This window comes from Homo sapiens, chromosome 4 (genome assembly GCF_000001405.40).
Source record: "Homo sapiens chromosome 4, GRCh38.p14 Primary Assembly".
Lineage (NCBI taxonomy): Eukaryota > Metazoa > Chordata > Mammalia > Primates > Hominidae > Homo > Homo sapiens.
In genome coordinates, this window is record NC_000004.12 from 98,116,477 (window position 1) to 98,132,997 (window position 16,521).

Below are 16,521 nucleotides of genomic sequence, written 5' to 3' on the forward strand. Positions count from 1 at the left end.
GACACATAACCAGGAAGTCTGGCTCCATTACACTTCTTTGCATAACTTGTCCGTCACCTTGGGGAGAATATCCTAATATCAAATCATAAGACCATTTCACTGGAGTTTTTACAGAATTGAACCTATTGTTCACATAAGAATATCTTACTCAAATATTTAAGATACTTAAATATCTTAATGAAGATTAATTGTCACATTGTTATTAATAGGATGATGGGACAGTCAAGGCCTAGAAGACCAGGTATGTCATAGAGAGAGAGAATGAAATATTCTTGAGACAAAAACTCCCATGGCCAGAAAGAAATGGGAATTCTTATGGTTAGAAAAGGAAACATGTAACTTATATTATCCTTACTTTTCATGTTACCAGAATTAATCTGGTTCTTCAAAAGTTTTATAGCATGAAACAATCCATTAGTCTTAAAATATCTGCCTACTACTGTATTTAAACACAAAATGTATTATTTCTAGTTTGTTCCATAATCAATAGGAATTCTTCTAAAAACTTAAAAATCAAAAATTAAATAATACTGGCTTATATATTTACCTTTATCATTGTTCTTTAATTATTTATGTGAATTTGAGTTATTGTCTGATAACATTTCATTTCAGCCTGAAGACTCCATTTGGTATTTCTTTTAGGGGGTGTGCCAGCAACAAATTCTGTCAGCTTCCATTTATCTGAAAATGTCTTAATTTCTCCTTTATTTTCAAGGAATAGCTTTGCTGATTCTGGAATTCTTGATTGGCAGTCTGTTTTTTCAACACTTTGAATAAGTCATCCCCCTCCCTCTGACCTCATGATTTCTATTAACCTTTTGGAGGATTCCTTCTATATGATATGTCACTTTTTTCTTGCTGCCCTCAAGATTTTCTTTTTGTCTTTGGCTTTCAACAGCTTGACTGTGATGTGTCTAGGTGTGCATCTCTTTGCATTAATCTTACTTAGAGTTTGTTGAGCTTCTTCTTTCTGTAATGTTTTTTCATCAAATTTGGGATGTTTTCAGCCATGATTTCTTCAAATATTCTCTTTTCTCCTTCCTCTTTCTCCTCCGCTTCTGGGATTCCCATTATGTGTATGTTGGTATACTCGACAGTGTCCCCTAGATCTCTGAGGCTCTGAATACTCTTCTTCATCCTATTTTCTTTCTGTTCATCAGACTGCATAATATCAATTGACATGTCTTCAAGTTAACTGATTCTTTCTTCAGCCAATTCAAATTTTCTTTTGGGCTCCTCTAGAAAGTTTTTCATTTCCATTATTGTAATTTTCAAATCCAGATTTCTACTCGGTTTGTTTTTATAATTTCTATCTCTTTATTGATGCTCTCTATTGGGTAAGGCACTATTCTTATACTTCCATTTAGTTCTTCAGACATAGTTTGCTTTATTTCTTTGAACATATTTAAAATAGCTAATTTAAAAATTTTATCTAAGAAGTCTAATGCCTTGGCTTCCTCAAGAACAATTTCTTTTTCTGTATATGGGCCATTTTTTTATTATTTGCATGTCTCAAAATTCTTTGCTGAAACCAGATATTTTGTATGATATAATGTGACAACTATGAAGATCAGAATTCCTACCCTGAGGGTTTGTTTAGTGATTTTCCAAGACTAATTCTCTAAACTCTGTATTCTTTGTACACTGAAATCTCAGCCTAATTAGCTGAGTGGTCAGGTAATGTCTGGACAAAAATTTTCTTAAGTGCCTTGAACCAATAAATCTCCAACCTTTGCCAAGGCCCTCTGTACATGTGTTGAGGCATAATTTTAATGCTCAAGCGGTCAATTTACAAATCTGTGTTTAGCCATCACTTCCTGCTTGTGTAGAGCCTCAAGGTCACCCAAAGGTAAGAGCTTGTAGAATCTCAACTCTTTTTTTTGCAGTGATAGTTTACCAATTCTAAAACTACTTTCAATGTACTATGGGATTAAGCAAATAGGTACATAATTCTGGATAATGGGAGCTAGGTTTCTTACTGTGGAAGTAGCGAGTCAAATATGGAAAGAGAAAGTCTAGAATAAACCTGTAGTGTTAGACTGAAATTGGAGGTATATGTATAAACTCACAGGTTTTAACAGACAAAGAAGAAGTATAGATTTCTTACTCTGTCCATTGAGATGACCTAGAAGCCATAACACCCAGTAACAATGCATGTACCTAGTATACAGATCTTACTTTGAAATACATTCTGCTGCTATGGAAGTAGGGCTCCTTAAAGAAGTGGCTGATTGCAAGGCTCAGGCAAGCAAATGAATAAAATGAACCTGGAATATCTTTTTATGCCAGAAAGTAAGGAAATTTTCAAAGAATGATATGAACATGTCAAAAGGACACAAAAAGTGGCTTACAAGGCTCCCAAGGGTCAAATCTGGAATCACTAATGCCTCAAAATAAACAATAAAGAAATAAATTATAGCACTTTGAGTAAAATAGGAATTCACAAATCCATACTGATATAAATATATAAATGGGGAAAAAATAAAGCTCTTCTTTATAGTAAAATGCCAACAAATAAAGGTTAAAAAATAGAGTTAGAAAATCACCATTTGATAAGCATCATGGTAAAACTGGTTCAGGAATCATCAATAGATGTTAAAACTATTAAGTGAGAGTTTGATGAGAAATAGGTAAGAGTTTGATGAGGAATGAAATATCTATTTAGTCTTAAAGTAATCCTCAAAAAATATTCACTTTACATGAGTTAAAACTAGAAGTCACCACCTCAAGTTAACATAATCATTTATGAGATAAATACCTTGTTACTCTTAACATGATATATTAAGAACCTATCACTTCTATAGTACTCCTGCCAAAATATTAAACAAACCTTCAGATATTCATAATATATACAAACCCATAACTGAAGCATATTCTACAAAATAAATAAACTGTACTCTTCAAAAAAAAAGTAAAGATTAAAGAAGACAAATACTGAAGAACTGTTCCAAATTAAGAGATTCTAAAGAGACATGCAACTAAATGCAACATGTAATATCAGACTGAACTCTGAATCAAAAATCTTTTTTTCTATAAAAGATACAATTGAGGTAATTAGCAATATTTTTCATAATAATGAATGAAATGCCCTGATTTTGATAACTGCATTATGGTTATAAAAAAGAATGCCTTTTTTTTTTTAAGTTCCAGGGTATATCAGCAGAATGTGCAGGTTTGTTACATAGGTAAACATGTGCCATGGTGGTTTGCTGCATATTAAGCCCCACATGCATTAGCTATTTTTTTCTGATGCTCTCCATCCCCCAAACCTACCCCCAATGGGCCCCAGTGTGTGTTGTTCCCCTCCTTGTGCCCATGTGCTCTCATCATTTAGCTCCCACTTATAAGAACATGTTGTGTTTGGACTTCTGTTCCTGTGTTATTTGCTGAGGATAATGGCTTCCAGCTCCATCCATGTCCCTGCAAAGGACATGACATTGTTCCTTTTTATGGTCAATCCTTTTTATGGCTGTATAGTATTCCATGGCGTATATGTGTCACATTTTCTTTATCCAGTCTATCATTGATGGCAGTTGGGTTGATTCCATGGCTTTACTATTGTGAATAGTGCTGGAATGAACATATTCATGCATTTTTTTTGTTTTTGTTTTTGTTTTTGTTTGAAATGGAGTCTTGCTCTGTCACCCAGGCTGGAGTACAGTGGCTCAATCTTAGCTCACTGCAACCTCTACCTCCCAGGTTCAAGCGATTCTTCTGCCTCAGCCTCCCGAGTAACTGGGACTACAGGTGCATGGTACCACACCTGGCTAATGTTTGTATTTTTAGTAGAGACGGGGTTTCACCATATTGATCAGGCTGGTCTTGAACTCCTGACCTCATGATCCACCTGCCTCGGCCTTCCAAAGTGCAGGGATTACAGGCATGAGCCACCACGCCCAGCCACAAGTATCTTTATAATAGAGTGATTTATATTCCTCTGGGTATATACCCAGTAATAAGATTGCTGGGTCAAGTGGTATTTCTGCTTCTAGATCTCTGAGGAATCACCACACTGTCTTCCACAATGATTGACCTAATTTACATTTCCACCAACAGTGTAAAGGCATTCCTATTTCTCTGCAACCTTGCCAGCATCTGTTGTTTCTTGACTTTTTAATAATCGCCATTCTGACTGGTGTGAGATGGTATCTCATTGTGGTTTTGGTTTGCATTCCTCTAATGATCAGTGATGAGCTTTTTTGTATATGCTTGTTGGCTACACAAATATCTTCTTTTGAGGAGTGTCTGTTCATGTCCTTTGCCCCTTTTTTACTGGGGTTGTTTTTTATTGTAAATTTGGTTAAGTTCCCTATAGACTTTGGATATTAGACCTCTGTCAAATGGATAGATTGCAAAAATTTTCTCCCATTCTGTAGGTTGTCTGTTTGTGCTGATGATAAGTTTCTTTTGCTGTGCAGCAGCTCTTTAATTAGGTCCCAGTTGTCAATTTTTGCTTCTGTGTCAATTGCTTTTAGCATTTCTGTCATGAAATTTTTGCCTGTGCCTATGTTCTCAATGGTATTGCTCAGATTTTCTTCTAGGATTTTTATAGTTTTGGATTTTACATTTCTTTAATCCATATCTTGAGCTAATTTTTGTATAAGGCATAAAGAAGGGGTCCAGTTTCAGTTCTCTGCATATAGCTAGCCAGTTCTCCCAGCACAATTTATTAAATAGGGAATCCTTTCCCCATTGCTTGTTTTTGTCAGGTTTGTTGAAGATCAGATATGCAATGTTATTTCTGAGTTCTATATTCTGTTCCATTGGTCTACATTTCTGTTTTTCTACCAGGACCAAGCTGTTTTGGTTAATGTAGCCTTGTAATATAGGTTGAAGTCAGCTAGTGTGATGCCTCTAGTTTTGTTCTTTTTGCTTAGGATTGTCTTGGCTATACAGACTCTTTTGGTTCCATATGAATTTTAAAATAGCTTTTACTAATTCTGTGAAGAATGTCAATGGTAGTTTAAAGAAAATAGCATTGAATCTATAAATTACTTTAGGCAATATAGCCTTTTTCATGATATGGATTCTTCCTATCCATGAACATGCAATGTTTTTTCATTTGTTTGTGTCCGTTCTGGCTTCCTTGAGCAGAGGTTTGTAGTTCTACTTGAAGAGGTCCTTCACTTCCCTTGTTAGCTGTATTCCTAGGTATTTTATTATTTTGGTAGCAATTGTGAAAGGGAGTTCATTTATGATTTAGCTCTCTGCTTGTCTCTTGTTGGTGTATAGGAATGCCTGTGATTTTTTTTGTGTGTGTGTGTGTGACAGAGTCTCACTCTGTCACTAGGCTGGAGTGCAGTGGCATGATCTCGGCTCACTGCAACTTCCACCTCCAGGGTTCAAGCAATTCTGCTGCCTCAGCCTCCCAAGTAGCTGGGACTACAGGCGTGCATCACCATGCCAAGCTAATTTTTGTATTTTTAGTACAGACGGAGTTTCACCATGTTGGCCAGGATGGTCTCAATCTCTTGACCTCGTGATCCACCCGCATCAGCCTCCCAAAGTGCTGGGACTACAAGCGTGAGCCACCACACTCGACCAAATGCCTGTGATTTTTGCACACTGATTTTGCATCCTGAGATTTTGCTAAAGTTGCTTATCAGCTTAAGAGGCTTTTGGGCTGAGACAATTGGGCTTTCTAGATGTAGAATCATGTCACCTGCAAACAAAGATAATTTGACTTCCTCTCTTCTTATTTGAATAAACTTTATGTCTCTCTCTTGCCTGATTTCCCTGGCCAAAACTTCCAATACTATGTTGAATAGGAGTGGTGAGAGAGGGCATCATTGTCTTGTGCCAGTTTTCAAAAGGAATGCTCCCAGGTTTTGCCCATTTAGTATATCGGCTGTGGGTTTGTCATATATGGCTCTTATTATTTTGAGGTATGTTCCTTCAATATGTAGTTTATTGAGAGTTTTTAACATGAAAGGATGTTGAATTTTATCAAAGGCCTTTTCTGTGTCTATCAAGATAATCATGTGATTTTTGTATTTAGTTCTGTTTACATGATGAATTACATTTATTAATTTGCATATGTTGAACCAACCTTGCAACTTGATCATGGTGGATAAGCTTTTTGATGGGCTGCTGGATTTGGCTTGCCAGTATTTTTTGAGGATTTTTTGCATCAATGCTCATCAGGGATATTGGCCTACAGTTTTCTTTTTTTGTTATCTCTCTGCCAGGTTTTGGTATCAGGATGATGCTGGCCTCAGAAAATGAGTTAAGGAGGAGTCCCTCCTTTTCATTTTTTTTGGAATAGTTTCAGAAGAAGTAGTATCAGCTCCTCTTTGTACCTCTAGTAGAATTTAGCTGTAAATCTGTCTGGTCCTGGGCTTTTTTCGGTTGGTAGGCCTCGATTTCAGAACTCATTATTACTGCTTCGATTTCAGAACTCATTATTGGTCTATTCAGCGATTCAACTTCTTCCTGGTTCAGTCTTGGGAGGGTGTATGCATCCAGGAATTTATCCATTTCTTCTAGATTTTTGTAGTTCATTTGCACAGAGGTGTTTATAGTATCCTCTGATGGTTGTTTGTATTTCTGTGGGGTCAGTGATGAGATCTCCTTTATCATTTCTGATTGTGTCTATTTGATTCTTCTCTCTTTTCTTCTTTGTTATTCTAGTTATCAGTCTATCTATTTTATTAATTTCAAAAAATAGCTTCTGGGTTCATTGATTTTTTGAAGGGTTTTTCATGTCTCTATCTCCTTCAGTACCATTCTGATAATATTTCTTGTCTTCTGCTAGCTTTAGGGTTTGTTTGCTCTCGATTCTCTAGTTCTTTTAGTTGTAATGTTAGAGTGTAGATTTGAGATCTTTCTAGCTTTTTAATGTGGGCATTTATTTCTATAAATTCGCTCTTAACACTGCTTTAGCTGCATCTCAGAGATTCTGGTACATTGTCTCTTTGTTCTCTTTAGTTTCAAAGAACTTCTTGATTTATGCCTTAATTTCATTATTTACCCAGGAGTCATTCAGAAGCAGGTTGTTCAATTTCCATATAGTCGTGTGGTTTTGAGTGACTTTTTAAATCTTTAGTTCTATTTTGATTACGCTGTTGTCTGAGAGACTGTTCATTATGATTTCAGTTCTTTTCATTTGCTCAGGAGTGTTTTGCTTCCAATTATGTGATCAATTTTAGATAAAGTGCCATGTAGTGCCGAGAAGAACGTATATTCTGTTGTTTTGGGGTAGAGAGTTCTGTAGATATCTATCAGGTCCAGGTGATTTAGAGCTCACTTCAGGTCCTGAATACCTTTGTTAATGTTCTGTCTTGATGATCTAATATTGCTAGTGAGATGTCAAAGTCTCCCACTATTATTGTGTGGGAATCTAAGTCTCTTTGTAGGTCTCTAAGAACTTGCTTTATGAATCTGGGTTCTCCTGTATTGGGCCCATATATTTTTAGAATACTTAGCTCTTCTTGTTGACTTGAATCCTTTGCCATTATATAATGCCCTTATCTTTTTTGATCTTTGTTGGTTTAAAGTCTGTTTTGTCAGAAACTAGGATTACAACCCTTGCTTTTTTCTGTTTTCCATTAGCTTGGTAAATGTTCCTCCATCCCTTTATTTTGAGCCTGTGTGTGTCTTTGCCTGAGATAGGTCTCTTGAATACAGCACACCGATGGATCTTGACTGTTTATGTGGCCTGCTATTCTGTGTCTTTTATTGGGGCATTTAGTCCATTTACATTTAAGGTTAACATTGTTATGTATAAATTTGATCCTGTCATCATGATGCTAGCCAGTCATTTTGCAGACTCCTTTATGTAGTTGCTTCACAGTGTCATTGGCCTGTGAACTTCAGTGTGTTTGTGTAGTGGCCAGTAACGGTTTTTTCTTTCCATATGTAGTGCTTCCTTCAGGAGCTCTGATAAGGCAGGCCTGGTGGTGACAAATTCCCTCAGCATTTGATTGTCTGTAAAGGATTTTATTTCTCCTTCACTTATGAAGCTTAGTTTGGCCAAATATGAAATTCTGGGTTGGAAATTCTTTTCTTTCAGAATGTTGAATATTGGCCCCCAATCTCTTCTAGCTTGTAGGGTTTCTGCTGAGAGGTCCACTCTTTCTCTGATGGGCTTCCCTTTGTAGGTGACTTGGCCTTTCTCTCTGACTGCCCCTTAACATGTTTTCTTTCATTTTGACCTTGGATAATCTGATGATTATGTGTCTTTGGGTTTATCTCATGTAGTATCTTACTGGGGTTCTCTGGATTTCCTGAATTTGAATGTCAGCCTGCCTTGCTAGTTTGGGGAAGTTCTCTAGGATGATATCCCAAGGTATGTTTTCCAACTTGGTTCCATTCTCCCCATCTCTTTCATGTATGCCAGTCAGTCATAGGTTCAGTCTTTTTACATAATCCCACATTTTTCAGAGGTTTTGTTCATTCCTTTCCATTTCTTTTTCTCTAATCATGTCTGCCTGTCTTATTGCAACAAGATACTCTTCAACTCTGAGATTCTTTTCTCCACTTGGTTTGTTTGGCTATTGACACTTGTGATTGCACTGTGAAGTTTTCATGTTGTGTTTTTCAGCTCCATCAAGGTGTTTATGTTTCTCTTTAAACTTGTTATTCTGGTTAGCAGCTCCTATAGTTTTATCATGGTTCTTAGTTTCTTTGCATTGGGTAGAACATGCTCCTTTCGTTCAGTGAAGTTCATTATTGCCCACCTTCTGAAGCCTACTTCTATCAATTCATCCATCTCAGTCTCAGCCCAGTTCTGTGTCCTTGCTGAAGAGGTATTGCAATCATTTGGAGGAGAAAAGGCATGGTGGCTTTTTGAGTTTTCAGCATTTTTGCATTGATTCTTTCTCATCTTTGTGGGCTTATCTTCTTTTGATCTTTGAGGCTGCTGGACCTTTGGATGGGGTTTTTTGTGGGGTCTTTTTTGTTGATGTTGTTGTTGTTGCTGTTTGTTTGTCTCTTAACATCAGGGCCCTCCTCTGTAGGGCTGCAGTTTTCTGGGGGTCCACACCCTATTTGCCTAGGTCCCTCCCCCACCTGGAGGCATCACAAATGGGGGCTGCAAAACAGCAAAGATGACAGCATGCTCTTTCCTCTAGAAGCTCTGTCCCAGAGGGCACCGACCTGATGCCAGCTGGAACACTCCTGTATGAGGTGTCTGGCAACCCCTATTGGAAGGTCTCACCCAGACAGGAGGAACAAGATCAGGGACCTGCTTAAAGAAGCAGTCTGGCCACTCCTTGGCAGAGCAGGTGTGCTGAACTGGGATGAATCCCCCTTGTCTAGACTGTCCAGACTCTCCAGGGCCAGCTGGCAGGAAAGAGTAAATACAGTGCACTGCAGAGATTGTGGCTGCCCCTCCCGCCAGGGGCTCTGTCCCAGGGAGATCAGAGTCCTGTCCATAAACCCCTGGCTGGAGTTGCTGAAATTCCCATGGGGAGGCCCTGACCAGTGATGAGGGATGGATCAGGGTCCCACTTGAAGCAGTCTGGCTATAGTCTGCCACACCCACTGTGCCGTGGTGTGGGGAATTCTTCCCAGTACAGACCAGTCTCTCTGGCACTGGCAGAAGAAAACAGCCAACTGTAGCTGCAGAGATGGCAGCCACCCCTCCCCTGGGGAACTCAGTCATCTTAGGCAGTCTCCAGCCTGCTGCTGCTAGGCAGCAGAGATTCCAAGCCAGTGGGTCTTAGCTAGTGAGGTTCCATGGGAGGGGGGCCCACTGAATGATGCTGCTTGGTTCCCTGGCTTCAGCCCCCTTCCTACAGGAGTGGATGATCTCCTGCCTCACCAGAATTCCCTGGGCCAGAGTATGAAAAACAACTCCTGCATCTCAGTGCCTGCCCAAGTGGCCACATGCCTGAGTGGCTGCCAACCTGAGTGGCCCCCGTCAGCCTGCACAGCTCTGTGCTTGGGGATCCAAGGCCCGGGTGGTGTGGGCTCACGAGGGGATCTCCTGGTCCATGAGTTGCAAAGATCCATGAGAAAAGTGTAGTTTCCTGGACAGGGTAACACAATCACTCACTGCCTCCTTTGGCTAGGGAAGGGAGCTCCCCTTGCCCCATGCAGCTCCCAGGTGGGCCATCATCACCCCACTCTGCTTTTCCTCACTCTCTGTGGGTTGCACCAACCGCCTAGTCAGTCCCAATGAGAGAACCTGGATACCTTAGTTGAAGGTGAATTCACTTGCCATTTTCATTCTTCTCAGTGAGAGCCACAGACCACAGCTGCTTCTAATTGGCCATCTTCAGCTAGTGTTTAATGTCTTGTTATTAGAACACTTACACTGAACTACTTAGGGGTAAAGAGGCGTCATATCCAAAATGTACTCCCAGATGATTTAATAAAAATAATAATATAAATATATGGGGAGAAAAAATGATACAACAAATGTGATAAAATGTTAACACCTGCAGGATCTGAGTGAAGGATAGGATTATTATTATTGTAAGTTTTTCTATAAGTCTGAAACTATTTCAAAATATTAAATTATTTTTTAAAAAGAAACATCTAACTGGGAACAATGAATGAATTAGATCTAATATACTCATACGGTTATATCTGGAAAATATAACAGTAAGCAAAAAACCAAGCAACATATACACCAGATAATATTTATTTAAATTTTTAAAATCATAAAACAATATATATTATTATTCATATATGAATATGTAATGAAGGTTTAATGTTTATTGTGGCAAAGGGAGAGGAATGAAGACAGGAGAATGGGGCAAACATCGTAATAACATATTTTTTTAAAATAAAGCTCATTCCAATGTGACGAAATTTTAACCTGTGTTTTATCTGTGTGATGGGTACATAGGTATCCATTACTATTTTCACAGTATCTATGTGTTTGAAATAAGTTACAATTAAAATGTTTTAAGAAAAAAGATTTTAATGGTTCAAAGGATCTAAAACCCCAAAAACTTCCCAGTGTAGCTACTGCCACAAACCAAATGGTTTTTGAAGGTGCTTATGTCTAAGCCCAAAGATGTAGTCACATACCAACAAATAACTATAGAATACTGGGAATAAAGATCAAGATAAATACTGAGAATGCCTTTTCTTTGCCCAAGGTGTCTCTTCAGCCTTTCCTTAAATATATGCTTAGTTTTAGAATTTTCCTCACTAGAATTACTTCTTCTACATCTCATTAAAGCACAAAAATACCATAGGTTCGAAGTACTATGTATTTCTGTCTTATAATTGAGTAAAATCAGACATACCATCTATCTTCATTGTCTGTATTCATGGATAACACATACATTTCAACTGTCTCAGTGAAATCTTGACAACTCTGGTCAGGTTTGAAATTTAAACTCTGGATGAAATGAATTAGCTATATTGTAACTGATATTTCAGTCAGAGAGAAGCTCCTTATTTTTTTAATAATCATTTCTGGAATAAATGATGTTTACATTCTCAGATTCAAATTCTTTTAAAAATAAAATGTTTTTTCTTTTCAAATTAAGAAAAATAATATCTATGTATTATTTATGATTATACACTGTGGCAGAGACTCCTAATAATTTATACCCATTCCTTCTTCTTCTGAGATACACAGACTATATTTCCCATTCTCCCTGGCAGTTAAGTATGGCCATGTGACTGGCTATAGCTCCAAGCCTGGCCTACAAAAACTTCCAAGCATAATTCCCCATCCTCTTCTGCCAGCTTGATACACTTGACAACAAGGCCCTAGAGGATGACAGAAGCACAACTGGAATAATCCTGTGTCCCTGAATCTCAGCATGAAGGAAAGTCACTTAACGAGAATGTCCATGTGAATGAGGAAAAATAATTCTACTGTATTAAACCACTAAAATTTGGGGGTCTATTTGTTACCACAATTAGTGTTCCATTAACTAAAACGTGTAATCATTTTTTTCTTGGAGAAATAAGCCAGGAAAAAAAGAAACCCATATGTAAATCATAAACAATTTTCCAATTGTCAATATGAAATACATTATACTTACAAATTGAGGTTTGTAGTATGCTGGACCAAGTGTACTGTCACAAGCAGGTGGAAAACATTTTATAATACTGCCATCATCATTAATATGATAACCATATGACTTTCCACAAGAAGGAATTGAAGGAACATCAACACTTCTGGTAAGTGTAGGTGATCTTGAAATTTTCTGCAAGGAAAACATTTTATATTATTTATTCCAAGGCAAGAGGAAGGGGAATGAAGAACCAAATATTAAAAGTTACTAAAAGGCAACTATTAAATATTGATTTAATGAGTTTCATGATATAAAACAAAAATGTTTGTTTTGTTATTGTTTTTTTTGAGATAGGGTCTCACTCTGTCACCCAGGCTGGAGTGCAGTGGTACAATCTTGGCTCACTGCAACCTCTGTCTCCCAGGTTCAAGTGATTCTCCCCTCGACCTCAGCCTCCCAAGTAGCTGGGACTACAGGCATGCACCACTATGCTTGGCTAATGTTTGTATTCTTAGTAGAGACAGGGTTTTACCATGTTGGCCAGGCTGGTCTCGAACTCCTGACCTCAAATGATCTGCCAGCCTCGGCCTCCCAAAGTGCTGGGATTACAGGCATGAGCCACTGTGCCTGGCCAAAAATGTTTTGTAAAAGTAATTTAAAGGAGTGAATTCAAGTCTGTTGCTTCACCTTTAAACCAAGAGAATGTATTTCTATTAAATTTAGAATAGAATAGAATAGATAACTATTAAAGTCATCATAAGAAGCAAAGATTCTTTCTCGTTTGGGTCAGTTATTTATCTTGCTTAGTAAAGCCACCATTACTAATTCTAAAAACAGGCAATCCTATTCACATCAACAATCATGCTATTATACTATCTACTATGCAAAAACAAACTTTGTATTTTTCAGTAATACTTTCTGGCTTCATTCCTTCCCAGCTCCTGACTTTTTGTTTCCACATTTCCTGAGTCTTGTATAAATGTCCTAAGTATGCAAGCTATATAGCAGGAAAATATCTATGATGTAATGCTAAATGGAAATAGCAAAATATAAAAGTGAACTATGAATATAGCTAAGTTATGTGAAATTATATATAAATGTATAAAGTCACATACATATATAATTTAATACCAAAAGAAGCTATACAAAAATTAACAGAAAATTAATGTTAGAGTCAGAAGTTTTAGGGTGATTATCCTTTTATCGAAATTTGGATTAATGGAAAATATTTTATAATTTAAATAAAAACATGAAGGTGTAATATATATTACAAATATTAATATAAAATGTATCAAATAAAAGTACTGGCATTTAAAGCATTTAGTTACTGGGACACTGAAATTATTAAGAATATATTGATTCCTGAAGTTTCTGCATGAATAAATTAATGCTATAGTTGCATGTTCACATGCCCATGTAGAATTATGTTATAAACGTACTATCACTGGCAGAATTTTCTTTTTCTTTTTTTCTGAGACAGAGTTTTTGCTCTTGTTGCCCAGGCTGGAGTGCAGTGGCATGATCTCCGCTCACTGCAACCTCTGCCTCCTGGGTTCAAGCGATTCTCCTGCCTCAGTCTCCCAAGTAGCTGGGATTACAGGCACATGCCACCACACCTGGCTAATTTTTTTGTATTTTTAGTAGAGATGGGGTTTCACCATGTTGGCCAAGCTGGTCTTGAACTCCTGACGTCAGGTGATCCGCCCACCTCAGCCTCCCAAACTGCTGGGATCACAGGCACGAGCCACCGTGCCCAGTCGTTTTTCTTTTTTAATATAATTTTTGGAGGGCGGGGGACAAAGTCTCACTGTGTTGCCCAGGCTGGAGTACAGTGGCATGATCTTGGCTCACTGCAACCTCTGCCTCCCGGGTTCAAGTGATTCTCGTGCCTCAGCCTCCCAAGTAGCTGGGATTACAGGCATGTGCCACCATGCCTAGCTAATTTTTGTAGTTTTTTAGTAGAGACAGGGTTTCACCATGTTGGCCTGGCTAGTCTCAAACTCTTGGCCACAAGTGATCTGCCCCCACTTCCCTGGCCTCCCAAAGTGCTAGGATTACAGGCATAAGCCACCACACCCAGCCAGAATTTTATTTTTTATCAAATTAAAGACAACCATTAAGTAGTTTCAGTAATACCTATGGGATTAATTACCAAATTAAAATAAGAAACCATTGAACGGCTTTCCCTCCTTTCCATATATTTAAAAAGAATTTGTGTGATGTCAAAACTTTCCAAAATAGGCCAGGCGCAGTGGCTCACACCTGTAATCCCAGCACTTTGGGAGGCCGAGGCGGGTGGATCACAAGGTCAGGAGATCGAGACCATCCTGGCTAACACGGTGAAACCCCGTCTCTACTAAAAATACAAAAAGTTAGCCGGGCATGGTGGCGGGTGCCTGTAGTCCCAGCTACTCAAGAAGCTGTGGCAGGAGAATGGCGTGAACCCGGGAGGTGGAGCTTGCAGTGAGCCGAGATCACGCCACTGCACTCCAGCCTGGGAGACAGAGCGAGACTCCGTCTCAAAAAAAAAAAAAAAAAACAAAAAAAAAACGACTTTCCAAAATATAGCCCCTACCTCCAGTCTCTATTCCTACAACTCTCCCTTCGCTCCTGTACTCCATTCTAAAGAACTTTGTTCTTTCCTGGAATATATCACACTATCAAACACTTCAGTGTCTTTATTCATGTGGTTTTTTCTGCACATAAAGTGGGAAAAAATATTTTTTCCCATTCTTTTTAACTACTATTTTTTCCCATTCTTTTTAACTACTCGGTGAATCCTTCTTCAAGATCAGGTCCAATTTGTTTCCCCCATTCCCTCCAAAGACTCTCTACTTTGAGCTACTAGTGAACACTGTATTATGGCTCTAAGATAGCATTTCATTAACAGTATTATACTGAATTTCATTCGTTATTTTCCTGTTAAAATTATACATCTCAGGAAGCAATGATTTTTTCTATGTATTACCAACATCTAGCATTATGTATGGCCACACAGTCACTCAAAATATATTTGATAAACTCCCTAAGTAAATGAACATTTACTTTGTCCCCACACACGAAATATCTGCAATTTAAATATACTTACAAAATTTAACCTCATTGTCATTGCACTGATATTATTCAACAAAGTACTTAGCCTTAAAACATATCTTCCTAAGCAAAAAGCTGATTAAAATGTAATATGAGCTACATGAAAAAGTTATGACAAGAGAAGGAACCACTCTAAACAAACAGTGACCAAATCTGCTCAATAATAGCATTTATTTCAAAGAGGTAGCCTTTGATGTAAAAATTATTAATTATATAGCACCCAATGTACCTTTCTAAACATACCACATACTAGTATTCTGCACAAATTCTTCATTTCAATTAAAATAACCTTCTCACTACCTTCCATAAAAATCCCACTTCTGTATCTTCACTCATGTAATACTCCAGTTTGGGATCCAGATTCCAACTCTATTCTTCAATGCCATGTCAAAACCCACCTCCTCTATAAATCTTCCATAAATTATGCCTTCACATAATATAGTAGTCCACCTTTAAATTCCTATGGCATTTCATTACATGATCATTCATTTAGCAACTGTCACATTTTGTCTTGAATTAGCAGCTACCTATTTGTCTACCTCCCATATAAATTTTAAGCTTTTTTACTTCAGGAATCATATTTTTAACTTATATTATTTATATTTTTTCCTTCCTTGCCACCAGGAAGGAAATATATTATTAACAGTACTAACACAGAGTTTCCTCTATACATAGGTAAACCACTCAGGTAGTTTGTAAAATTTCCCTTACTTTTTATTCACCACAGATGTTGAAAGTGACTATAGATTTGCTAGGAGCAAAAAATGAAGTTAGATATGAATACAGTTAAAAACTAAAGTTTATTTACTTATAAAATAACTAAAATGTAAACACTAATAAATTTTTATAGGAAGGCTTTTTAAATGTACTTCATATCACATAAAATATTAAACCTTTACTATTTTAACTAAAAAATGTCATTAACAAGTATAATTTAAAATATAAACGTACTGACTGAAGATGCTCTCTGGTCTCTAATACTTTTCTGTTCATGATATCTTGTGTTCTAGGATAAAACTGATCATAGCTTGCTGGTCCTGGATTATCTGAAATAAACTTCTTAAAACGTTTCTCCCGGTTTTGTAGACTATGGCCTCCTTTTATGTTACACTAAAATGGAGGGAAAAAAACCTTCTGATATATAAAAGAAGCACTTTACAATTAATTTCTACTTGATAAATATTAATCATTATCAGAAAATATTTTTAAAATGCAAGCTAAGAAAGTTTACTATTGACTGAGGATATAGTTCTAGTAAAAGGGGATAGTAAGAGAAGATAGCAATTATAGTTGTCAGTTTTAACTTGAAACTCAAAACTAAAATTTGCTGTACTTGGAGCACTTTGAGAGAGTGCAAGAAAACTGTTTTTAAAACAGAAATCAGAGATGGGAATTCGTAAAGCTGTAGAGCAAGAATAAAGGCCCTTAGAAAAATTTTTACCCCTGAAATGAACTAAAAAAAAAAAAAAAAAAAAAAAAGTTGGCATTCATATTGCAGGGAAAA

General features: G+C 37.3%; 1 protein-coding gene across 6 annotated transcripts in view; it reads right to left on the bottom strand.

Annotated features, from left to right (window-relative positions):
• STPG2 (sperm tail PG-rich repeat containing 2) overlaps window positions 1-16,521 on the bottom strand; it is a 702,228-nt gene that overhangs the window by 675,228 nt on the left and 10,479 nt on the right. For 3 of the 6 annotated variants that reach the window (XM_017008049.3, XM_011531886.4, XM_047450120.1), the window contains exons 3-4: window positions 15,969-16,127; window positions 11,952-12,116 (exon numbers count right to left, since the gene is read on the bottom strand). In XM_017008049.3, the coding sequence (XP_016863538.1) occupies window positions 11,952-12,116; window positions 15,969-16,127 (324 nt within the window). The remainder of the gene's footprint in view (window positions 1-11,951; window positions 12,117-15,968; window positions 16,128-16,521) is intronic. The other 3 variants (XM_047450118.1, NM_174952.3, XM_047450119.1) reach the window with 1 other exon arrangement.